Source organism: Homo sapiens, chromosome 7 (genome assembly GCF_000001405.40).
Source record: "Homo sapiens chromosome 7, GRCh38.p14 Primary Assembly".
Classification (NCBI taxonomy): domain Eukaryota; kingdom Metazoa; phylum Chordata; class Mammalia; order Primates; family Hominidae; genus Homo; species Homo sapiens.
The window spans coordinates 38,002,586-38,029,812 of NC_000007.14; the positions used below are offsets into that span (position 1 = coordinate 38,002,586).

A 27,227-nucleotide genomic window follows, 5' to 3' on the forward strand; every position below is an offset into this window, starting at 1 on the left:
TATTTTTATAACAATGCATTAAAGGCTGCATTAAAGTCTTTGTCAGTAAATTCTAACATCTGTGTCATTTTAGCACTAGCAGCTATTGATTTTTTTCCATGTATGTTGAGATTTTTCTGTTTCTTCATATGCTGAATAATTTTGGATTGTATCCTGTATAATTTTGAAAATTATAACATAAAAGTCAGGGCATTTCTTTTATTAGGCAATCAGTCCAGTTAGATTCGTGTTGCAAGGTCCAACTAGCCTTCTGTGGGTGGTGATTTCAATGTCTGTTCTATTTTTAAAGACTTTGACTTTGTAGTGCTATTTGGATTGGTATTGGATGTGTGTCACCAAGCAGTCAGTCTGAGACCTGGGTAGTGGTAATCCCTTAGTTCAATTCGAAAAGTTATTGGTATGCTGTTTGGGCCTGGTTCCATGCATGCACAGCTTAGGAGTGAGCCCAGGAGTTCGTAAGCAAATTTATAGAGTTCATTTACCCAAATTCCTCTCTCTCCATAATCTGTCTCTACTTTTTGATTCCCTAAAGTTCCTTTTTTTAGTCCTCCAGCAGTAAAGCCCGAGTTTTATTTGCCCTGCTCTGCTGCACTCTTCCCACAGATACACCCATATTTGGGTGAAAAGTCAGCAGGACGGAGAGGGAAAAAAGCAACAGGAGTCCATCCCATTCTCTTGAGACAACAGGTTCACTGATCACAGAGAAAATTTCTTTTCCCTCAGAGTTTAGGCACCTTCAGGTCTGTGCTGTCACCAATATCCTTACTGCTACTGCCATGGAGCAGGGATTCAAGATAACCAAAGGAAGACAAAGGTAAAGAAAAATAAGAAGTTTTCTCCACTCTCTCTGAGCACTCAAAGATTGTTTTTTTCACATCTTGAGCCAGAACTAGAAGACTTCCATTGCTCTCTCTCTTTCTATATCAATACCCACTTCTGGGATTCAGGCTTCCTTGGACCCAGGCTGGCAGATGGAGAGCAAAAAATGGTAAGAGAGCAAAAATTTTTTTGGGGGGCAAAAAATGATCAGCTCATTATAGGTTCTGCAATACTTCTAATTATAGTCATCTTCTCCAGTCTACCTGCTCTTACTTACTTTCAGAATTTTCATATAGCTGCTCCAGGCATTCTTTATGGGTTTTATGGGTGCATTCGGTTAGAGAAATAGGATGTACTTAAACTGTTTAATCCAATATTTTTAAAATATCACATTACACAGCAGAAAAACAATGAAGTTAACAAGGTTGCATATCAGGTTTAGTTGCAAGTAAACATTTGACATATTCATTTTAAGTGCTAAAAACTATTCTAATATCTTGCCTTCTATATGGTAAGAAGTGTCAAGAGCCAGATCTTGATTCCCTAGCTCCATATGGCAGTAGAATTCCCAATAAAAGCCAGAATTTATTATTTATTAGCTAGGTTAGAATTAGGTGCTTGCAAAACCATTAAGAGCCTGAACTGGCAAAATATATTAGTTGTAGGTTTCGTGCTACAGAGACAGAGGTACTGCCATCCAGAGTCAGTGACCTGCAGAAATCTGCTGCAGATTCTATAACTCCATCATCCAGAAAGGTGAATGGCAGGAGAATGCAGAAACTACTGCAAACATTCATGCCTGGGAGACCCACACTTACACCCACTGTCATAGAGATGGCTTCTGCTTTGTCTGCCTTCTAAATCTTGTGGCAGGGTGTCTCCTTGGTGGAACCCCACATAAATTCAAAACCCTACTGGCAAGGGAGTCTAGGGAGTGTAGCTCCCAGGCTTCTAGTCCCAGAAATACAAGAGAACTGAAGGGGGCATGAAGAATACTGAGTGTCTGCAGTTAGTATTTAGCAAAGTAATAATGTTTAGTTCTGTTGGAAAACATGTTTTTCATCTGGCAAGTCAAGGCTAAGTTGGTGTTCATCCTTGTGAATTTCATTAGTCATAACACATATGATAATCATATAGATGCAGTTTTAAGTTCTGATTTTACACAAGGTCTGAGGTTAGTAAAAACAAACAATAACTAGCTAAATCAAAATTAATGTTCACTGTAAAAAATTTAATAATCACATATGCTAGGATATTTTTGATTACCAGAAGGAGATGTGGCATTCCGTTGGTGTTAAATGACCTGTCTGCCACAAGTTCTGGTGCAGAAAATCATTAAAGCTCAGAGACTCTATAGTTGGAATAAAGTTTCTGGAAAACATTGGGACACATCTGAACTCACGATAAATTGAGCTAATGTGGATATTTGTAATAAATATGCTTATTTAAAAGAGATTAAAAAATAGAATATACCCAGAAATCATAGTGAAATATGCTTATCATAGAATTACCATAAGGAGAGCACGATGCACCAGGCATGGTGGCTCACGCCTGTAATCTCAGCACTTTGGGAGGCTGAGGTGGGCGGATCATGAAGTCAGGAAATCGAGACCATCCTGGCCAACATGGTGAAACCCTATCTCTACTAAAAATACAAAAATCAGCTAGGTGTGGTGGTGCGTGCCTGTAATCCCAGCTACTTGGGAGGCTGTGGCACGAGAATCACTTGAACCCAGGAGGCAGAGGTTGCAGTGAGCCAAGATTGCACCACTGCACTCCAGCCTGGCAAATGAGCAAGATTCCATCTAAAAAAGGAAAAAAAAAAAAAAAAAGAAAAGCACAATGCACGGGTTTTTGTATGAATAAACAAAGTATATTTTTTGAGTTTTAAAAATCTGAGCAAAAAATGAAAAAATACTTTAACTTATAAAAATTTTATTCCTACAGTTTCACACAAATGTTATGGTCTTGCTTTGAATAATACTGATTTCACACTTGAATTTACCCATTTTAAAGCTATTTTAAATTAAAAATAAATCTTTAAATACTTTCTCAGTCATCCAAAGTAGAAGAGTACCTCATTTTTTATCATATGAGAGAGTTATTGCAACATTTAGTATAGAGTGAAAGAGCTAGGTTAAGAAAAAAGAAAAAGAGCATATGCTGAGGATGCATTTTGAAGTAAAAATAAAATATCTGTTCGAGAAAGGTTAATGCTGAAGATAAAAGAGTGATTTCACTTACTTTATCAGAACAGTAGAAAATAACATTTACAAGCAGTGAAGACTATATTACTAAATTTATTGGCTTTTTAAAACTTAAGCAAGATGAAATAAGATTTATGTAGCTATAGAACAAAATAAATGAAGTAATGGCCAATATGTGTACAAATTTTAGATTTGGTGCAAATATGTTCCCAGTTTATAATTCCAACAAAACTACACAAAGTTCCACATTATCTATTACATTCCAACTTAACTGATGTTGGCAGTTTGCTTATCTGACATGATCTTCACAGTTAAATTGCTTTATGTCTTGGAGTAATTTCATACAGTTTGCCCTAGCCAGTCTCTACAGTTAAGTGTTGAATGATCATTTTCTGCTCTGTATTACTAAAAGACTAAATGCACTGTACTTTGATCAAAGATTCTAATGGTGATTACATAGAAATTGTTACTGAAGCAGAAAAAGCCTCAAAAATTCAATGTATCAACCAAGACAGTACTAACTAAACCTGATCTATAAAAAAGTTTCTCAGGTTGACATGTCATATTTCACATTTTGAACATCAGCTTATGTACTTAAACACATGTTACCGTGGTTACAGTTTGGAAATGGAGTTGACACAGTTGCTGGGATAGCAAAATGAAAATTAATATGCTAATGTATGGAGATAATCTCATTTAAAACAACATCTTTTCGATGTGCTTAACTGGAGCTATTTCCAAGATTTGTGCTCCTTTAGTTTTCCCTATGAAGAGATCTACCAATGTCATACCTACATGTTGCGTGGTCTGCCTCTACTCTTCCAATTTCACTGGAGGGTATGAATCTAACAAGTGTTCAGGCCATGAAATTCAGAGTTGAAGGGACTGAATCCCAAAACTAATAGTTCTTATGTAGCACACCAATAAATGTAGGTAGTTATTTCATCATCATCATTATTCTCCTAAGAATTATTGGAACTTATGGACAAAATCTAGCACGGGCCCCATCTGTGGTGTCACTGGCTTCACCTGTTCAGAATCTTTAGCATTATGCCCTTTGATTTGCTGCTGAAACCAAAGACTGTCTTCCTCAATTTGTAGAACCTGGTCTACAGGTGGGCAGAACCTGTAATCTTACACCATAGGATTTTGCAGCCTCAGCAGTCCCAGCTCTGACTCAGGCCTACCAGTTTCTTGAAATCTCTGTTACATTTGCGGTGACAAAGGAAAAAACAATCAAATAAATGTTTCTCAAAAATATTAGAATTAATATTTCAGCTGGAGAAACTTTTTTTTCCATTTAATACTGGGGCTTTTGTGAGCCAGATGTTCACCTGTCTGACAACTCGTCCAAGAAGGCATGTAATTCACTTATCCAACATTAGACAGCAAATAGATAATCTTGAGTCCAGAGCTCTTAATTCAAAGATCTCGTGATCTGCCCATCTCTCATAGTGGTTTTCAAGTCTTGTTTCCATTTGACTGACATCTTATATTTAAATCCATCAAAAGAGGCACTAGGGTTTCCCTTTCTACCTTCAAAAATTCTAAGACTTTCTTTTTATGCACCCATGACAACTCTCCACAACTAGTCACAATTCCAATGAGGAATGCTATTCTATCACATAAGGATGCTTCTAATTGTGCTTGTAATAGGGCCTGGGGAGTGTCTGGAATGTGTGTGTAAAGCCTACAATTATCCAGTCATCATGGAATTGCTGTGGTTGGCTCTCAGTCTCAGCACATAAAGACCTTCACTCTGTAAACTATTTTTTGCTAAATTCCTAAATGACCTGTGCATTCCCTCACCCTTTTCCTCTGTACTTTTAGAAAGCTCTGGAGAGGTCATAGAATTGTCTTCAATGAAAATAGAGCCTCTCAGAAAGAAAGTAATTATATGATCAGAGGAGTTGGCACTTGCAGATGTTTACCTTTTAATATCACCTTCACAGTGATAAAGAACCCACGGGTTCTTCTAAATTTCCAGACCAAAATTAAGCTGTAGTCATGGCCTGCATTCATATCTTTTTTCTAACTTTAATGGGAATGCCTTCAATGTTTTATTGTTAAGGTTTATATTGAATGTTGGCTTAAGAATGTTTATTATTAAGGAAAGAGCTCTTCATTCTTAGACTATGAAGTTTATAAAAGGAATGGATGTTTTATCAAAACCCTGTGGAGATCTTGATTGACTGACACATTCTATTAATTTTCCAATCTTAAACTATTCTTGTATTCTAGGAAAATCTTTACATGGTCATTGTTTCATTCTTTTAATATGCAGTCTCTTTTCTGTCCTTTGTAGTAGCTTTATGAAGTAAGAAGAAAACTTCCATATTTTTATATTCTGCAACATTTTAAACACTGGAATTTTTATATAAACGTTAAAGACTTCAACACTAACTCCAATGTTGGTGTATTGGCAGTGCTTTTTGTTATTAATCATCAAATTTATATTTTTGTCCTTCCTTATTATTCTCCCATCTTCTCTGCCTAATTCCCCTAACATTTACTTTTTCTCCCTCTATTGTTTATTTATGCCTCAGTCTCAGGCTTTTATTTTAAGAGAACCCAGGCTAAAACAGCATCTTTTAACCTAGAAGAAGGTTGGATATTTATTCATTGAAAAGAATAAACCAGATAGTTTGGACCTGTAGACCCCAGCCAGCGCTGAAAGAAAAGTGAGTTTCTACATGGAAAAAAAGGAGCTTTAAATTAAAGTCAACATGACAAATGGTAAAACTTGCAGGTCCTCTTCTTTGTAGGTGCCAGAATCTATTATCTAGGTTTCTATACTGTATACAGAAGATTGAAGAATGTATTTTTTTATTGAAGATTCCTTTCTGACTGGCTAGAAGAAAAATGCCCATAGATATCCACATTGTAGGTTCCCAAAATACTTGTCAGATCCTGCTCAGTTACCCTACAGTGACAACCACTAATTAACAAGTCGTATCCTTGCACATTAAACTTTCAAACAGTTTTTTAGTGCAGCTCTTAAGTAGAAATTGGCAGTTACAGGCTGGGTGTGGTGGTTCATGTCTGTATTCCCAGCACTTTGAGAAGCCAAGGCAGGTGGATTGCCTGAGCTCAGGAGTTTGAGACCAGCCTGGGCAACATAGCAAAACCCTATCTCTACAAAAAATACAAAAATTATCCAGGCATAGTGGTCTGCACCTGCGGTCACAGCTGCTTGGGAGGCTGGGGTGGGAGGATGGCTTGAACCCGTGAAGCAGAGGTTGCAGTAAGCCAAGATTCTCCACTGCACTCCAGCCTGAATGACAGAGTGAGACCCAGCCTCAAAAGAAAGAAAAAAATATAAAAAAAATCTAAATGACGAGTTAATGGGTGCAGCACACCAACATGGCACATGTATACACATGTAACAAACCTGCATGTTGTGCACATGTACCCTAAAACTTAAAGTATAATAACAATAAAATTTAAAAAAAGTTAACTCAAAAAAAATCAGCAGGTACAGACTGCCAAGTAGGATCAGAAAACATTAATATGAAAAACAGAGCTGAAAACCAATGAGGAAATAGGAAAAATTAATATAGAGGGCATAGGCAAAACAAGATGCCCATGAAGAGATAATGGCAGATAAAATAATATCCTTAAAGGTAAGAATATCCTGAATCTTGCCAGGAGCAATGGTTCACGCCTGTAATCCCAGCACTTTGGGAGGCCAAGGCAGGCAGATCATGAGGTCAGGAGATCAAGACCATCCTGGCTAACGCAGTGAAACCCTGTCTCTACTAAAAATACAAAAAAATTAGCTGGGCATGGTGGTGGGTGCCTGTAGTCCCAGCTACTCGGGAGGCTGAGGCAGGAGAATGGCGTGAACCCAGGAGGTGGAGCTTGCAGTGAGCCAAGATTGTGCCACTGCACTCCAGCCTGGGCAACAGAGCAAGACTCTGTCTCAAAAAAAAAAAAAAAAAAAAAATCCTGAATCCATGAAACAAGACATTGATGCTTTATGTATTTAAGAGAAAATCAGAAGATGCATAAGAGGTTTTGGAAATAAAAATGTAATACCAAGAGCAATATAGAAAATGTGAATAAGGATAGTGGATTGAAAATAGAGATGGGAGAGGGAGAATTATGGAAATGAGAATCAGGGAGATGTGGTGAAACAAGGAAGAGAGAAAGGGAGAAAACAGAGGGGTGTAGAGAGAGTGAAGGGGCAGATGGAGAGAGAGAAGGGACAGCATGGAGAGTGGTAATGAGAGTAAAGCTAAGAGGAGAGAGGGAGGATATCAAGTAAAGTGGAGAAATAAAGACAGAAACAGATGTGGGGGAGATGTTTCATGGATTCAGGAAATTAGAGACAAGAAGAGGAAGGGAACCAGTGGTGAGAGAAAAAGAGAGAGGGAAACAAAAGGAGAAAATAGTGGAAAAAAACAAAAAGAGAAAAATGAATAAGGGCAAAAACATAGGTCAAACCAGGTAGAAAGCAAAGAGAGAGATTGAAATAAAGTATTAAAAGAGAGAGGCATGGAGTGCAGATATACCTTAGACATATTGATTTCAATTCCTGTGGATATACACCCAGAAGTGAAACTGCTGGCTCCTATGGAAGTTCTATGTTCAGTTTTTCTGAGGAAACTCGGTACCATTTTCCATGGTGGTTGTACCAGTTTACATTCCTACCAACTGTGTACAAGGATTTCCTTTACTCACATCCTCACCAACGGTTATCTTTCATCTTTATTATAAAAGCCATTCTAACAGGTGTGAGGGGATATCTCATGTGGGTTTAATTTGCATTTCTCTAAAGATTAGTGATGCTGAACATTTTTTTATGAACTCACCGGTCATTTTTATGTCTTTCTTTTAGAAACGTCTGTTCAGGTCCTTTGCCCATTTTTAAATTGGATTATTTGTTTTCTTGCTATTGTGTTGTTTGTGTTCTTTATATATTTTGGATATTAGTCCCTCATCAAATGTATGGTTTGAAAATATTTTCTCTGTTAATCGTTTTTTTTTTTTTTTCTGTAAGAGCCTTCTAAGTTTGATGCAATCTCATTTGTCTATTTTTGCTTTTGCTGCCTGTGCTTTCAGGGTCATCTCCAAAAAATCCTTGCCTAGACCAATGTCATGGAGTTTTCCTCCTATGTTTTCTTCTAGCAGTTCTTTAATTTCAGGTATTATGTTTAAATATCTAATCCATTTCGAGTTAATTTTTTTCTACGATGTGAGATCAGGATCTAATTTTATTCCTCTACATGTGGATATCCAATTTCCCCAGCACAACTTAGTTTTTAAAATTGTCCTTTCCCTATTGTGTGTTCTTGTCATTTTTGTAGAAAATACAGAATTATCTACAATAGCCAAGAAGTGGAAGCAACCCAAGTGTCCACCAAACGACAGATGGATAAAGAAAATGAGGTATATACACACAATGAAATATTATTTGGCCTGCAAAAAGAAAGAACTCCTGCCATTTGCAACAATATGGATCAACCTGGAAGACATATTCACTTATGTTAAGTGAAATAAGCAGGCACAAGAAGACAAATATTGCACAATTACACTATATGGGGAAATCTAAATAACTCATAGAAGTAGAGAGTAGAATAATGACTACCAGAGGCTTGGGGAGAAAAAAAGGGAGAAAAATGAGTTGTTGGTCAAAGCTTACAAAGTTTTAGTCAGACAGGAGAAATAAATTTTTAAATCTATTGCACAGCTGGGTGACTGTAGTCAATAACAATGTATTATTCATCTCCAAATAAGTAAGATGGCATATTTCAAAATAAACAAGATGCTGAATTTCAAACATCTCAACACAAAGAGTTAAGTGAGATGATGAATATGTTAACTTCATTTTATCATTCCACCTTGTACACATATTACATGAATGTATACAGCTGTGATTTGTCAATTTTTTAAAAATTTAAAAGAGAAAGAGTCATGGAATTAGAGTAAGAAAAACCAAAAGAAGAAGGATAAATCAAAGAGAGTGAAGAAAGAGGAAGAGAAAGAAGAGAAAACAGAGAAAGGGAGAAACAGATTAAGGGAGAGAAAGTGAATACAGCGAGGAAGAAAATTTTACATATATACATACACTCATATACATTAATTTATGCATACTAGTTGGCTATATATATATTTGTGCATTCTTTTCTATACGTAGAAGATTGGAAGATGAAGCTGAGAAAACATCTCAGCATGCACAATTAAAAAAAAAATGAATGAAAATAGAAGAAACTTAAGATTATGAGAGCAACCCATGAAGTCCAACATCTGAAAAATGAGAGTTACAGAAGAAAAAATGGACAAAAGAGACATGGAGATCAAATTATCAAAGCAATTATACATTTTCCCATAATTGAATGACATGACTTTGCAGGTTAAAAGGCTCACCAACTGTCTGTTATGATAATTAAAATATGACTCCACAACCAGTAATGGATTAAATATATCCCTAAATCTTCTAGTGAGATAAAAGAGGTCAAATACAAAGGAAATAGGCTTTGAACTCCTTTACAGCAAGTTTGGAAATAAGAAAACAAGGAATGAATGTTTGCAAAATTTTAACAACTAATCGTCTCCAACTTTGAATTCTATACACAGCCATTGGACCAAACAAGGGTGAGTGTAGAGTAATAATATTTAGAGACATGCATATTTTGGAACATTTGCCTTTTATGCAGTTTTTATTAGAAAGTGACTGGACAATAAAATGCACTAAGACTGGTGAATGAACAAAGACCAAGAAAGATACAGGGAATGAAAAACAGTAACTAGGCAACAGGAATTTCCAAAATGTGAACAATGGGAAAGCCCAGGATATTAGCTGTCTAACATTGGGTTGTGGTCAACTCTGTCCCCTCAACCTTGAAAACATTTTTAAAAAATTATATATGAATTTAATCTATCAAATAGAATGCAAAAAAACGATGTGTGAACATTTCAAAAGATTTCTATTTCTCTAGTGAGCACAAAAATACCTATCCTGCATTCTTCTCAGTTGCCATAAAATATTGAATACTGTGACTTTTCCTACAAGTGAAGTGATTAACTGTCTTGTAGAGCCTTTTTACTTCTTCATTTAAAAAAAAAAATCTTTTAGGTTCAGGAGTATATAAGCAGGTTTGTTATACAGGCAAACTGTGTGTCATTGGGGCTGGGCATACAGATTGTTTCATCACTCAGGTAATAAGCGTAGTAACTGATACGTAATTTTTCTGATTCTCTCCCTCTTCCCACTCTTCACCCTTAAGCAGGCCCCGGTGTCTGTTGTTCCCCTCTATGTGTCCATGTGTTCTTATTGTTTAGCTACCACTTATATAACTTTTATGTGCAGTTTCTTTTGCCTTTAGCCTTAGATTCCACTTATTTCTACTCGTTTAGGTCAGCACGTCTTCCCTCCGTCCCCTGCAGGGAAGTTGTTTCATCATTTGCATTACAGTTAGATGCTCTCGTCACAGTCTGTATTCCTTTCTGAGATCCCCAAGGTCCTAAATTGTTTTTAAAATATTGCAGATATTAGTGTTCACTCTTTGGGTTATAAAGTTCTATGGATTTTGAAAAATATATAAGGTTTTATGTCCACCATTGTAATATCATACATAAAATTCCCCCAAATCATCTGTGCTTCATCCTATCCTGGAACCTCTGGCAACTACTGGTCATTTTACTGCCTCTATAGTTTTGCCTTTTCCAGAATGCCCTGTAATTGGATCATACAATATACACAGCCTTTTCATTTTTCCTTCTTTTCTTTTTTTTAGGGACAAAATGGCAGCAGCCAGCCTGACCATTCCCTTCCCATCATGAGGGAGAGGGCTGTGGTATGGACAGCAGCAGCTGACTGGCCACAGGTGCAGCCACTGCCATCCAGCCCCGACTCATTCCTAGAATAAGAACCACCAGACTGCCCTCTGACACCTGCCTCAGCGGTCCCCACCACTCCTCAAACCCTGTCACCGTCCACAGACAAGCCCTGGAGGGGTGGGGAAAAGGTGGGGCTCTGGGGCTTCTTTTTCAGAGATGGGAGGTGCACAGGCTGGGGAGGAACCCCCAGAGTATGCAATCTTTTAGGACTGGCTTCTTTCACTTAGCAGTATGCATTTAAGATTTTTTATTGTTGTTGTTTGGGGTTTTGTTGTTGCTGTTGTTGTTCTTGTTGTTTCTTTTGGTTGTTGTTGTTGTTGTTTTGAGACAGGGTCTCACTCTATCGCCCAGGCTGAAGTGCAGTGGTGCAATTAGGCTCACTGCAACTTCTACCTCCCAAGTTTAAGCCATTCTCGTGCCTCAACCTCCACAGGAGCTGGGATTATAGGTGCGCACCACCATGCCTGGCTACATTTAAGGTTTATACATATATATATTTTGTGTGTGTGTGTGTGTGTGTGTGGCTTGATAGCTTACTTTTTAACTTCTGAATAGTATTTCATTGTATGGATATGCCATAGTTTGTTTATTCATTCACCTGTTGAAGTTTTTGGTGATTATGAATAAGGCTGCTATAAACATAAGCATGCAGGGTTTTGTACAGACAAAAGTTTTTAACTCAATTGTTTAATTACCTAGGAGCGTAATTGTGGGACTGGATTGTAACATTGTCTTTAGCATTGTCAGAAACTGCTAAACTGTCTTCTGAGGTTTCAATGTTATTTTACATTTCTAATAGCAATGAATGAGAGTTCCTTTTGCTCTCCATCTTTGCCAGTAGCTGGTAGTGCCAGTTTTTTGTTTTTATTTTAGCCATTCTAATGGGTGTGTAGTGGTATTTCATTATTGTTTAATTTGCAATTTTCTAATGACGTATAATGTTGAGCATCTTTTCACACGTTTGTCTGCCTCTAAATGTCTTCTTTGGTAAGGTTTCTGTTCAGATTTTTTGCCTATTTCTTAATTAGGTTGCTTATTTTCTTTGTTGAGTTTCAAGAGTTGTTTATATGTTTTACAAACAAATTATTTATCAGATAAGGGTTTTGTATATATTTCCTTCTACTTCATGCCTTGTCTTTTGATGGTCTTAACATTGCCTCTCACAGAGCAAAACACTTAAATTTTAATAAAGACAACTATTTTTTTCCCATGGATGGTGGTTTTGTGTTACATTTAAAAACTCACCAAACCCAAGGTCTCCTCGATTTTCTCCTATGTTTTCTTCTAGAAGTTATATAGTATTATGATTTATATTTAGATCAAGGATTCATTTTTAGTTATTTTTTTTGTGAAAGGTGTAATTCCTGTCTAGATTTATTTATTTTTGCATATGGATGTTGAATTATTTCAGTATCTTTTGTTGAAAAGACTATCCTTTCTCTATTGAATTGCCTTTGCTCTTGTCAAAAATCAGTTGACTATATCAGTATGGGTCTATTTCTGCGCTCTTTATGCTGTACCATTAATCTAATGTCTGTTCTTTCATCATTACAATGCTGTCTTAATTTAGCTTTACATTAAGTCTTGAAATTGGGCACTGTCAGTCCTCTGACTTTGTTCTTTTTCAGTATTGCATTGACTACTCCATGTATTTTGCTGTTCGATATAAACTTTAGAATTAGATTTTCAATATCCACAAAATAGCTTGCTGGAATATTGATTATAATTGCATTGAATATCTAGACTAAGTTGAGAAGAATGGACACCTTAAAAATATTGAGTCTTCCAGCCGGGCGTGGTGGCTTACGCCTGTAATCCCAGCACTTTGGGAGGCCGAGGTGGGCAGATCACGAGGTCAGGAGATCAAGACCATCCTGGCCTACATGGTGAAACCCCTTCTCTACTAAAAATAAAAAGATTAGCTGGGCATGGTGGCACATGGCTGTGATCTCAGCTACTTGGGAGGCTGAGGTGGGAGAATCGCTTGAACCAGGGAGTTGGAGGTTGCAGTGAGCCGAAATCACACCACAGTACTCAATCCTGGCAACAGAGTGAGACTCCATCTCAGAGGAAAAAAAAAGTTGAGTCTTCCAATCCATGAACATGGAATATCTTTTTATATATTTAGATCTTCTTTGATTTCTTTAATTACAGTGTTACAGTTTTCTGCATAGATATTCTGTACATATTTTCTTAAATGTCTATGTAAGTGTTTTATTTTCATGCTATTATAAATGGTATTGTGTTTTTCTTTGAAAATTCCAACATTTCCATTGGTGGTATATAGGAAAACAATGGACTGTTATCTATTAATTTGTATCCTGCAACCTTGCCATAATCTGCTATTAGTTCCAAGATTTTTTTTTCTATTTTTTGTTTCATTTTCTACTTTTTTTGTTACTTTTTAATTTTCTATTTTATTTTTACAGTTTCATTTATTTTTACTTTATTTATTTTTTAACTTTATTATCTGTGGAAAGACAGTTTTGCTTCTTCCTTCTTAATATTTATATCTTTTGTTTTCTTTTTACAAATCTTGTCACACTACCTAGGACTTGCAGTACAATATTGACTAGAAGTGGTAAGGGAGAATATCTTTGCTTTCTTTCCAACTGGGAGGAAAACATCTGTTTTTCTCTCCATTAGGTATGATGTTAGCTGTAGGTTTTTCATAGATGTTCTTTAACAGGTTAAGAAAGTTTCCCTCTGTTCTTAGTTTGATGAGAGGTTTTTATTTTTTTAAACCATGAACGGGTATTGGATTTTTGTCAAATGCTTTTTGTGAAACAATTAGTATGATCACCTGATGTTTCTTCTTCTCCAGGTTTCATTGTGAGAAACCACTGGGGATCCTGAAGTTAAAACTCATCAAAGTGTGGGGAAAACTAAGACTGGCCTAGCAGGATTTTTACTCTCAAGCTAATCTACACTCAACCTCAAAGAATTTATTAAAATTCACATTTAACCATCTTATCAGTATACATCTTCAAGAGCTTTCGTTTCTGGTACAAAAGTTTCAGCTGCAGTTACTTGTATTCATCTGTCTCTTCAGATTTCGAGGTGGTGGTCTGTCTTGTGAGCTCAAGTCTCTGGTGATTCTAATAAATGTCATTGATTTTTTAAGTCTTCTCAGATTTATTTCTTGTTTTTAGGATGGGAGTGGTGACTTCCAAGCTTTTTACATGTGAAAGGTAAACCAAAGTCAACGTGAATCTCCTCTTCATGTCTACAACTGAGCAACAGGTTTTTCAAACCTTGTAGCTCAACCCCTACTATCTGACAGTCTTTCAGACACAGCTAAGAGTCTATATATCTTTCTGTTTCACAACCTCGCTCTGATACTCTCTGTGTGTTTCATCATTCTATCTTTTAGCATGGTTAGGATGATCCTCACCTAGAATGGAGAAACCTCCAGAGATTTGAATCTGAGAAAACTAAGTTTCCTTGATTCTTCAGTGTTTTTTCTGACTACTCAATAGCAGCAATGTAATTTTTCGCTTCTCTACAGTCTGAGAAACATCACAATATAATCCAAGACCATCATGATGAGATCTGGTGGCTGACATGAGGAAAGTTGTGCTCTGTTTTCTAATGCTTCAGCTACTCAGCTCTTCCTGTCTCTCATCCCTACTTAAAACCTACTTATAGGGACTATCTGAGATCAGTGAACTTGCACCAGCCACACCACAGTCATCATCAATACATCAACAATTTTCAGGGAGGTACCTTCTCACTAAACAAGTTCTAACTGGATTGGGATGAGAGAGAGTGGTAGGGCAGTTCTAGTGAGGAAAGTGCTTGTGTCTAAGTCAGTGGACAACTTGGTAACTCCCTAACTACTTGATAGAAATTATATTTTTTCTCTCATGGCATATGTTGGTAGAATAAATTATTCTATCTTTGTCTCCTTTTCCCCCATCCAATTTCATTTCATCAGGCTTGAAATTGCTGAAAACATTTCTCATTTTTGGGAAATGGGCAAGATGGACTTTGATCTGTGTTTGCTGATTGATTAACTTTACTCTTGTATCTGAATGATTCCATTGAAACACATGTGGTCATATCCAAGTGGGTTGGAAACACATGTGCAAATGCAATTCTGCTAGTACAACACACTTTTAAACAAAATCAACAATAATCCAGGGATAATAAAATTAAACTTGAAACTGAATAAAATCTACCCTCACCGATTTATGAAGTTTGTCCAGCTCAGTTTACAAAAGTAGACATTCCCCCAACCCACTCTCCCTGTCTAATAAGAAGCTCATGATATGTGATTAATTATTAAGGACTTGTGGTTCTCCATAAGAAATTTAATTCTGTCAGTCTGCAGGGAAGGCTTGTATGATCAAGTTCAAATTTCCAGCTTTGCTCATTTTCCAGTTGCTTAGGAGTTCATAATTTTGAGTCTAGAAATTGCCATCTATACAACTATGAGACACACCTAACAAAAAGTATAGAACAGGACAGATTTCAGCCATTCACACAAAAATTGTGTGATTCTTGTCATATCCATAGTACCATTGGTATTGTTATTCACCTACTATCTCCCTATCTGAATTCTCTATCTAAACTCATCATTATCTTATTTTTAATGTGATCATGTACCACATAAAACCATCTTGCCTACTACCAGTAGTATGTATGTCATGCTTTCAGAGAAAAACAGATAATCTGAAGTAATGCTTTTTGGAAATATTAAGGAGGAGGTTCAAAAGCCAGTATAAAGGACTCATTAGACATTCACAATCCTAAAGGACTTCTATCTGTAGTCACAATAGAGTACTTTGCCAGTCCTCTGTCTTCATTTCCAGCAGCCAACTATGACTTCACAGTCTCTCATGGTGACCATGAGTTTCCACATCGGTCCCCAGAGCTGATCATTGTGATCTGGGGATATAATTGTGATGTTTATTGGATGGAAGAGCAGTGAAAATTACACTGTTGCTAATGAGAAGTCAGGAAAACACCAAAAAACCAAAAAACATATGTTTTCTCAAGCCTAAATCTCTGGAGAATCCTTCTAGGTCTCTAATGTGGTGATTGCTTTAAACACCCAAATGTGCTGAAAATGCTGCCTGAAGTGGATAGAGGCTCATCATTTGCATGTTATAATAAGGTTCCTAGAGTTCTCAGGTTGTGATCATATTATTTATCTCATTCCAACATTGAGAACTTTTCTTGTCACACCTCTTTTATCTAACATAGCAACGCTATTTTTTCAACTCATTTCCTTCTCTAACTTTGTTACCCAATGTCTACTACATTTTCTTCTTAGTGCTAATCATGTGGGAGAGGTGAGAGAAGTTAAAGACAGCCCTTATACATTGCCATCTCCCCAAAAGAACATCCCATACAGACTTAAGCACCTCGATTAAAACTTAAACTATCTGGTATAACTTATCTTGTATAACTTATCTGGTGTTCAATTTATTCTCTCCAAGACCGTTCCTTACCTCATTCATTAATCCCTGAGGATTGGAGTAAAGGCTTTCCAGTCCAAGGTAACACTTAAATTTTGTTGGCTCACTTTGCAGCCTCTACATCTTATTCCAAATAATTAACCCTGGAAGTTTGGCTAAATAAATTTCAAAGAATCCAAAGTACTATCTTTCCACATTCTCATATGATACCCAGATAATAAAGATAATGAAGAAGGTAGACTATTTTTTTCAGAAAGGATGGCTTGACATTATTTCTAACCCCTTATCTTCTCTGTTCTCCTCCAGAAACCCCTGAAGCAGGAAACAGGGTCTGGAGGCAGGGAACCTAATGACTTCCTGGAACTAATTTAAATGGAATTAAATTAAACTTTCTAAGCCCAGGTAAATAACTTTGTAACTCTACTTCAGCTATGGCAGGAAACATCCTCTTCATTGCATAGGGTGTACACCAAGTACATAACATTGTAACCTCACTTCATTCTCTTCATTTGCATAGGGTGTACACCAAGTAAATAAATTTGTAACCTTACTTTATCCTCTTCATTTACCTATGGTGTACATCAAGTAACCAATAGGAATCCTCTAGAGGGTATTTAAACACCAGAAAATTCTTTAACTGGGTCCTTGAGCTGGTTGTTCTGGCCTGCTACCACCCTGTGGAGTGTGGTTTCATTTTCAACAAATCTCTGCTTTTGTTGCTTTATTATTTCCTTGCTTTGTTTGTGTGTTTTGTCCAATTCTTTCTTCAAAAAGCCAAGAACCTGGACACCCTCCACCAATAACTCCCCTAAGCCATCTGTGCACATACATCTCTTCTTTCGGAAAACTTAATCCCCTTATTTTGTTCTTTCCTAAGGTCCACCATGCACATTGCACTTTCATACACATCAGCTACAACACTCTGGTGATTAAAAATTTTTAGCTGTCAAAAATGGTTGAGTTGCTGTACCGGACAAGACTCTGTACTAATGGCTAAGACTTTCAGACTAGTTTTGCATTTATTTCCCCAGATTTTGATGTCCCATTGGCTGTCTGGTTCAGAATTCATAATGCTTTGTCGGCGTCTCAAGTTAAGTTTGAAGAACATGTCCAAATTCTCCATTTCACCTCCATTCAATGCAACTGTTGGCAGCATAGAAATTATCTTCAAGGTAAACATGAAGAAACCCTAAGGAAATAATACTTGCCCTTCCATTGGGGTAATGACCTGGCAACTGTAGACATCTGGGGGTGATAGGAATTATTCGACAGGTTCTTTTTAAAAATAGGTAATGATCCTTTAAAGGATGAAACCCCATTTCATAACATGCAATTTTGTTAACCACTCTGTTTAGAAAACCGGGCTCTCTCTGGTTTCCCAGCGCTGGTAGCTCGGCTTGACGCATGAGGTTGGGGCTGCCTGGGTCATGCCAATTTAGATTACTGGATCTCACAGGATGCTACAAGGCAGACACACCCCAGAGTGACTCACTGAGTGGGAAGTTTAAAAAGATGGTTTTCCTCAGCCATCAATTAGATAAACCACATTTTCCAGGAGAAAAACAGCGTCTTGAAAAGTTCTTTACAAACAAAGCTTTCTTTGCTCATTCAGCTTTGGGTCATGTTTTCTTGTGAAGGGAAGTATGACTTTAACCTTAATTGCACTTACAAATTAGCAAGTAAAATAATGCCAGCCTTTCCCCCTTCCTTCCTTCCTTCCTTTCTCTCTCTCTCTCTCTCTCTCTCTTCCCTATCCTCTCTCTTTTCCCTCAGAGGAAGACACTTTTATGATTTTAGCTCTGGTAAAATTAGAGTGTTCTTCCTCTTTGCCTCTTCCCTCAAAGCTGTGGTTTTGACCAACCATGTGATGAATGAGTTATAGGTAGAGGCCTGAGATCTGTTTCTTCTGCCCTGAATAGTCTACTCTTCTTTATACATTTTTTTTAACCTTTTATTGCAATCTCATTGAAAACGTACTCAGGAAAGGACATTTGTAAGTTGTGTCTTTTTAAAAATGACAGTTTTGATTTAGGATGTGTGTCCAGAAGAACTGAACACTGAAAAAAAAATCTAAATCTCCTTGCCTTATGGTTATTTTGCATGTTTGGAAAGTACCAAATAAGTTTCTCCCACTGCATTGTAAGATTCTCAAAGACAAAACAGGGTATTTGTCATTTCTACCTTCTGATATACTATGTACCTATTACACATAGAATAACATATTCAAAAGCAGATCTTCATAAAATAAAATATTTTGTACAAAATCTCTCATTTCCCAACTCACTCAAAACTTGAGACCAAGGTGATAGAGTTATTGGCTGGAGTTCCAAATAGATATCCAGGGCCATAGAATATTTTGTGCACACTCTTAAAATAGCACAGAATGGATAAGAAATCAGTAGTCCATTAGCACCTTCTCCTTAGTGCACTCCTCCTGCGAGGGAAAGCACACCTCAGGCATGTGAATACTGGGGATCCAGGAACACTAAGGCATCCCTGTGCTTGCTGGTATCTTAGAATTTTATCTCCATTACAGGCAATTCACAGCAGCTGAAGATAATATGTGCTCAACAAATTCAGATGAGCGTGTTGACAACAGATGAGCATGATGTGACCAGGTCTACTGTGTGGCTCTATGTATGGGTGTGTGGGTGTAACATCCCATTTAGGTCTTATAAGGCTGAGGACAGCATTATTTTCCTTTCACAAATGAGAAAACACAGGCTCATATGAGTAGTTCACTCAAAGCCGGAAACCTAAGAATACGACGATCCTGGCTTCAAGATGTGTACTTTTAAATATTAAATAATGTGCTTCTACCAAGTTATATGTCCTCTCTGATATTAAATATTCTGCCACTCATGTCCACTCCAATTCCAGTAGCTATTTTTTTTAGAGTAAATTCACAGCAGAATGGTTGGAAAACAGACACTAGCAGGATAAAAGAAAGTCTGTGCTCTTTCATGGTTGTATTATGATTCCTTCATCAGGGCCAAAGGCTTCCCTCTTCTGGGGGCTGGTGGTGGGGCAGGTGAAGGGTTTTTGAGATGGATCTAAACAATACCACCCAAAACTTTCCATATTTCCACTGCTTCCTTGAGTATCTTAAAACCATTCTCTATTTGGGGGGCTTGGAAGTATCCTGGGCATACGGGTTGGTTGCTTACTGAGGTAATTTAGACAAGTTGACCGTCAGCGCAGCAGGGAACTCTCCTCTTGCACAATCAATGGGCAATGCAGACACCTGCAGTGGGAGCTCACCTGGAGGGCATTGATGGCCCATGGGCATCATTGGCTTGGCTCACAAAAGGTTCCTTAGTGCTGCATAGAGCTGACAGAGCAAAGGCTGTGCAGACTCTGAATACTAATTCTGTTCTTCTCTTCTAAGTCCAGAAGATTCCTCACAGGCCTCCAGGCAAACACTCACATCCTTTATCTCCCAACTGAGGCATTCCACCCATCACTTATTAAACTGTATGCTCTTTTAGGCAGTTTTGGGGAGTTTGCTTTTGAAGTCAAAGCTGAGCACTGTTTTCTTGTACTTAATATTCTCATAGATAATAGGTGGATTGGGAAAAGTTCATGAATAATAAAAAGCAAGGAAAAATGGGAAATTGCATATTTTTCAAAATATCATATAACTCTTAGTACTACAGAGGATCTTACATAAGCTTTTTTTGAAAGATTTTAAAAAAACATCACATTAGCATCATGCTTCCAAAAATTTCGGGGTCCCCATAAGCTCCCTCTTAGCCTTTGTGTCAGCATCCATGTTTAGCTAAGACATCCACTAAAGGGTGATATGCAGGTTATAACAAAATAACTAAGGCAATTTAGCTGCAAGTGGCAGCATTATTGGGTTCTTGATCCTAAAACAAATTAGATAGGCCCATGGGCCTATCACCTCATGTTTACTTGTTTACTCCAAGGGCCCTGGCTGAGTGATGACCTAGAGTCTTGGATAGCTAAGGCCACTGACTGGACAACTTTTCTTATTAGGTGGTTTATAGTTAACTTTTCTTCCTAGAGAGATGCCATTCTTTTTTTTTGGTTTGTGTGTGTGTGTGTGTGTGTGTGTGTGCATGTGTGTGTGTGTTTCCACTTGTTTTTTTGGTTTGTTGTTTTGTTTTGTTTTGTTTTTGTTTTATAATTTTGAGATAGGTCTTGCTCTGTTGCCCAGGCTGGAGTGCAGTGGCATGATCTTAGCTCACTGCAACCTCCCCCCACCTAGGTTCAAGCAATTCTCCTGCCTCAGCCCCCTTGGACTGGGACTGCAGGCGCGCACCACCACACCCACCTAATTTTTTTGTATTTTTAGTGGAGATGGGTTTTTAATCTACTTTGGGTTGTCTCTAGAGAAAGTTGTCATTTCTTTTCACAATAGAATTTTGAGGTGTCCTGAAATGCAATGCTGTGTAATAAAATGGGAAGAATGAAACAACTTTTCATTTCCTCCTGGGAAGTTTCCTTGGAATTTCCTGTTATGGACCCTCACCACTGCCCACCCTACCATGCCAAGTCTCATCTCCATTCAGTTGCGTGCTCTTGGAAAGATATATAATCAAGACAATTTAGCCCAAGTTGTTGAAGTTTGTTGTCCAGCTGCAATTAGATCCTGATACCTTTTGGTATTAGTATGAGTATTCTTATGCTAATGCTAGTATTCTTACTATTCTTCTTTAACCATGCTACTTGCCTGTCATCCGCACCAATTTTTACTTATCTTCCAGAAATATGGTCCATACCATGACATCCCTGTTTCTGTGAAAACTGGTAGAAGTAACATCTACTGTTCACTTGCTATATTCCAGTAGTCATCATCACAGCAATCCTTGAGGTAGGAACTATTACTATCCACATTTCACAGATATGGAAAATTAACAGGGGCTAAGTCCATTTCTGAAAGTCTAAATGGCAGCTGGATGCAGCAAAGCTGTTATACTAACAATCATGGTAGCCCCTCTCAGAACCCAGACCCTGGAGCATCTGTAAGCTACATATATGTTGATTCTCTCCTGATAAAAATAGACATAATTCTTCCAAAGCCTATATGTGTTATTTTACCGATATTTTTAGACATATATTTTTCTTAGAATCCTGTCTTCTAAAATTCTTTATAATTTTCTCATCTATCACAAAGACCCAGTATGGCTTTATTCTTACTTATCGTTGAAAATGAAAACAACAACCCGATTAGGGAGAACTTGAAGTTGCCAAATGTTGAAATCAGTTTGTATTTGTCACACTAAACTCATATCGCTTTCTGTATTGGAATTTGCTAATTGTATATTCTACTTACACTGTCCCAATATATCTGAACTTCAGCAAGCTTTTTAACAAGGAAGCTTGAGAAAGTCTCTCTTATGGAAATTCTTACCATCATGACCAAAGATAACTGGAGATGAGTAAGCAGGAGGGCTGTTAATCGGCTTGATTCAGCTTAGAGAGGAGCTCCTAGAACTTAACAGATCTAAAAGCCTAATAAAGTTAATATGTTCATCTAATTCAGACAATGTAAAACTGGAATGGACAATGACAGATGTCCATGGAATAGACAATGTCAAGGTAGAGCCAAGAAACCTTAAAATGTGACTGATCATTAACAAGCATAAATATCCAATAAGCAGAGCCAAAAGTAAGATGAAATGTATAAAATGTAGGATGTGACTTACTAGCACCACTGATAAAAAAGAAACAACAACAAAAACAAACTCCAACAACAGTGTCAAAAACTGCCTCTTTAAGTCAAAATGGGAGTGACCACACACGTTCAATGCAATATTAGAATTACAGTTTTATCTGTCTAAGAGCTAGGTCATGTTTAATGTTTGCTGTAGCTGTAGGTGTCTGAGGCTGGAATTATTTTTCAGTGTCTTGGTTTTTGTTTCACTTGTCTTTGTGTTTCCCTAGAGACTCCATAAATATCTTCTGAGCCCTGCAGTTCTTCTCATAATCCATCATTATTATACAGGAGACCTACTGATGTGGTGGTAAAGCATGGAAGAAGAGAACCATTCTGTAATTTTATAATGAAGTCTTAGTTTTATAGTGAGGCTGTGCCCTGCACTGTGACTTTCACAAGTGCTTCTCAGCTTTTCCTCATCCCTTAGGTGAGAAGGGAAGGCTAAAGGGGGCTGGAGTTGGGTATTTCCCTTTCCGTAGATTAGGCTCTGGCAAAACAATCTCCTTTGAGGGCAGGCTTTTATTAAGGAGAACAGAGAGCTTTGGGTGTATTTAAAAATGGTTACTCTCCCTGCCAGAAAGACTGGGATTTTTTTCTCCAATCTTCACCAAAAGAACATGGTGGTGCTCTTGGAGGTAAAACAAAAAACATGTGGGCCCTCCCAGAGCTGGGCCCCCAGAGTTTGTAACTCTCAAGTTTATCCACATTGAGCCTATAGCAATTTGTCAATTATAGTTTAAATGTTCTTACCAGCACCGGCTCCAGCCTCTGGCTTCTGCTCCTCAGCTTCAGCTCCTGTAAACTATGATTCTTAGTATCTGACTCTCTCTCCAGTGTTTGCAGCAGCGGTCTGCTCTCAATTATCTGATGCCTCTAAGAAGAGTTGTTGATTTTCAGTTTGTTCAGTTTTTGTCTTTTTGTGAGAAGATGAGTGATGACTTCCAAGCTCTTTACATGTCAGACTGGAAAATCATAATGACAGATATGTACCTAAATATAGTGAGGAGACAGTAGACCTTACATAGTCTACCCACATCCAGGGAGTAGAGTCCAGTTTTAGCTATCATATCCAGAGAATGGTGAAAAGAAAGTAAAGCCGTGCACAAATAAAAATGATTTAAAAATCTGAAAATCAGTCTGAATCAGTAATAATGCCAATACAATTTTGCTACTCAGGAAATTTATCTTCTGTCCTAACGTCACTACTTTGCAAATGCAAATATACAAAATATACAGATAACATTAACAATTTATTTTTTGTTACTTGACTGTAAGTTGCAAAGTAGTATCTAATGAGATGCCAGGAATTCTGCCATAGAAACAAAAATATTCAGTACTTTCCAGCTACTGTTCATAGAACTTCAGTAAGTATATTCTTTCTCATAGATAATGATGCTGGTATAATTTGGTAAAGTAATAGTACTATGATTCACCTGCCGGTCCCTTAATGTCTCAGAAAATAGCAAGAAATACATATTATCCTTGAGCAAAGATGACTCAAAGTCAATAAAAATTTCCCACAAAGAAAACATCAAACCCAGACAACTTTATAGAGTAGTTCTACCACAATTTCAAGGAAAAAATAATAATTTTAGTTTTTTTATAAAGCTCTTACAGAAAATAGAGAAAGAAGGAACACATCTATCTCATTTTATGAGTTCAGCATTTTTAGGCCCAAACCTGACTACAACTGTCACATAAAGAAAAAGGATACAACAACCACACTTTCAAACAAAAATGTAAAATATTAGTAATTAAATAAAATATTAACAATCTGTATGTAACAATACATAAAAAGTTAGTACATCATGAGTAAGGTGAATTTATCCCAGGTATGCAATGTTAGTTTGATAATAGAAAATCAATTAATGGCATGTGTTACATTATTAAAGAGAGAAAGGTAGATGATTATCTTAATAGATGCTGAAAAGGCATTTTTAAAAGTTCAATATATATATATATAGATAATTTTTAAAAAATGTTTTAGCATATTAGGAATAGAAGGAAACCACTAATTTTATAAAAGGCAAGTAAAAACAAATAAATAAAAAAATTAGAACAAACACCAATCCTAACTGTAATGTTGAAGGCATTTCCTTTAAGATTAGGAGAAAGATAAGGATACCTGTTACCATCACTTCTCTTCAACCGTTGACTATAGAATCTATAGTTCAATCAAATAAGAAAAAAATAAAAGCAATAAGAAAAAAAAGAAGAATCAAAACTCTCATTTTTTGCAGGTGATATAATTTTATATATAAGTAGAAAATTTAAAAGAAGCTACAGAAAAACTAAGAAATTTAATAAAAAAGTTTGAAAAGTTTCTTGATAATGAAAATATAGAAAAGTTGGTTGTATTTCTGCATTAGGAACAAGCAGTTATAAACAGTTTAAAAAGAGATATTTTCCAGGGTGCCATGGTTCACATCTTTAATCCCAGCACTTTGGGAGGCCAAAGTGGGTGGATCACCTGAGGTCAGGAGTTCGAGACCAGCCTGACTAATATGCTGAAACTCCATCTCTACTACAAATGCAAAACTTAGCTGGGCATGGTGACTTGCACCTGTAGTCCCAGCTACTTGGGAGGCTGAGACAGGAGAATTGCTTGAACCCGGGAGGCAGAGGTTTCAGTGAGCCAAGATCATGCCACTGCACTCCAGCCTGAGTGACAGAGCAAGACTCCGTTTCAAAAAAATAAATAAATAAAAATAAAAAAGAAAGATATTTTCAGTGGCAAATAAAGATACAAAAATAACTAGGAATAATTCTATTAAAAGGCATACAAACCCCTAACATAGCAAATTATGAAATTTTGATTAAAAATCATCAAGGAGACCTAAACAAATGGAAAGAAATAAACTATTCCTGAATAAAACCTCAATTTTCCCTACATTAAACTACAGATTCAATGAACAGTCCCCCAAAAAGATTAGGCTGGCACAAAAGTAGTTGTTGTTTTGCCATTAAAAGTAATGGCAAAGGCAAAACTCGCAATTACTTTTGCACCAACCTCATACCAAAAAATGTTCTAGAGAGCACTGTGGAGCTGCAGGGCTTGGTCAACATGTGTAGGCAAAGGTGGTGGAAGACATACGCAGTGCATCTGAAGGTGCTGAGTCAAGCCAGTCAGTCATAATTTGAATGAGGGAGACTTTTTCAAATTTGGAAACACATTTGTACATTACATGATTTAATCACTGAGCAAGGACCCCAGGAAATAATGTTAATACACTGCTATGCTAGTTCTTGGATGCCTGGAAAATTCAGTAGCACCCACCAAGTAAAGTAGAGATGCTGGAATGCTAACAGCAAAAGAAAGGATCAAAAAGTTTAGAGATGTGGGCATGTGAAAGTGGATACACTATATAAAGCCAAAACAAAAACAAAAACACACCCTCAAAAACCTATAAGGCCACGTGATTTCACAGGCGGGCCTTGAGGACATTCCAACTGTTAGACAATAAATAGTTTGTTCATGAGCCAGACAGCAGCATCACTGAGAAACTCTTCTCTCTAAGCTTGGAATTGTTACTGGAGAACTGAACTCACCGACAGCAATGAGTGCCAACCAGGAAGCAGGCTCTCACCAGACACCAGACCTGCTGACAATTTGACCCTGAACTTCCCAGGCTCCAGAACTGTGAGAAATAAATGTCTGTTGCTTAAGCTACTTGGTCTATGGTATTTTTGTTACAGCAGCCTGTACTGACTAAGACATCTTTCTCCAAGCTGCCTTCAGCGTTGACTGCTGAGAGTTTATTGTTGACTCTTTCTGTAAGAACTGCCTTTGCCTGAAGGAAGTTGCCTTGCCAAATACATATTTTTTTTATTATACTTTAAGTTTTAGGGTACATGTGCACATTGTGCAGGTTAGTTACATATGTATACATGTGCCATGCTGGTGCGCTGCACCCGCTAACTCGTCATCTAGCCTTAGGTATATCTCCCAATGCTATCCCTCCCCCCTCCCCCCACCCCACCACAGTCCCCAGAGTGTGATATTCCCCTTCATGTGTCCATGTGATCTCATTGTTCAATTCCCACCTATGAGTGAGAATATGCGGTGTTTGGTTTTTTGTTCTTGCGATAGTTTACTGAGAATGATGATTTCCAATTTCATCCATGTCCCTACAAAGGACATGAACTCATCATTTTTTATGGCTGCATAGTATTCCATGGTGTATATGTGCCACATTTTCTTAATCCAGTCTATCATTGTTGGACATTTGGGTTGGTTCCAAGTCTTTGCTATTGTGAATAATGCCGCAATAAACATACGTGTGCATGTGTCTTTATAGCAGCATGATTTATAGTCATTTGGGTATATACCCAGTAATGGGATGGCTGGGTCAAATGGTATTTCTAGTTCTAGATCCCTGAGGAATCGCCACACTGACTTCCACAATGGTTGAACTAGTTTACAGTCCCACCAACAGCGTAAAAGTGTTCCTATTTCTCCACATCCTCTCCAGCACCTGTTGTTTCCTGACTTTTTAATGATTGCCATTCTAACTGGTGTGAGATGATATCTCATAGTGGTTTTGATTTGCATTTCTCTGATGGCCAGTGATGATGAGCATTTTTTCATGTGTTTTTTGGCTGCATAAATGTCTTCTTTTGAGAAGTGTCTGTTCATGTCCTTTGCCCACTTTTTGATGGGGTTGTTTGTTTTTTTCTTGTAAATTTGTTTGAGTTCATTGTAGATTCTGGATATTAGCCCTTTGTCAGATGAGTAGGTTGCGAAAATTTTCTCCCATGTTGTAGGTTGCCTGTTCACTCTGATGGTAGTTTCTTTTGCTGTGCAGAAGCTCTTTAGTTTAATTAGATCCCATTTGTCAATTTTGGCTTTTGTTGCCATTGCTTTTGGTGTTTTGGACATGAAGTCCTTGCCCATGCCTATGTCCTGAATGGTAATGCCTAGGTTTTCTTCTAGGGTTTTGATGGTTTTAGGTCTAACGTTTAAGTCTTTAATCCATCTTGAATTGATTTTTAATAAATGGTGCTGGGAAAACTGGCTAGCCATATGTAGAAAGCTGAAACTGGATCCCTTCCTTACACCTTATGCCTTGCCAAATATTATTTCCTCCGCAGAAGCAGTCCACATGCAATGACTCATAGATATGGGGATTAAGACACTTGGCCCCTTTAACCTGATTTGGGTATTCTCTGAAGAATCTTCCCAGCTCCAGAGCTCCCCATGATATTCACTGAGGCCTCTGATGCATCTGTGCCACAATTCAATTTTTCTCTCTT

The 27,227-nt window shown here is 37.3% G+C and overlaps 1 long non-coding RNA gene across 3 annotated transcripts in view; it reads left to right on the top strand.

Annotated features, from left to right (window-relative positions):
• The first annotated feature begins 672 nt into the window (after nucleotides 1-672).
• LOC105375236 (uncharacterized) overlaps nucleotides 673-27,227 on the top strand; it is a 40,878-nt gene continuing 14,323 nt past the window's right edge. The window contains exons 1-3 of one of the 3 annotated variants that reach the window (XR_007060291.1): nucleotides 673-988; nucleotides 8,336-8,417; nucleotides 10,766-12,080. This is a non-coding gene — a long non-coding RNA (uncharacterized LOC105375236). The other 2 variants (XR_927182.2, XR_001745170.2) reach the window with 2 other exon arrangements.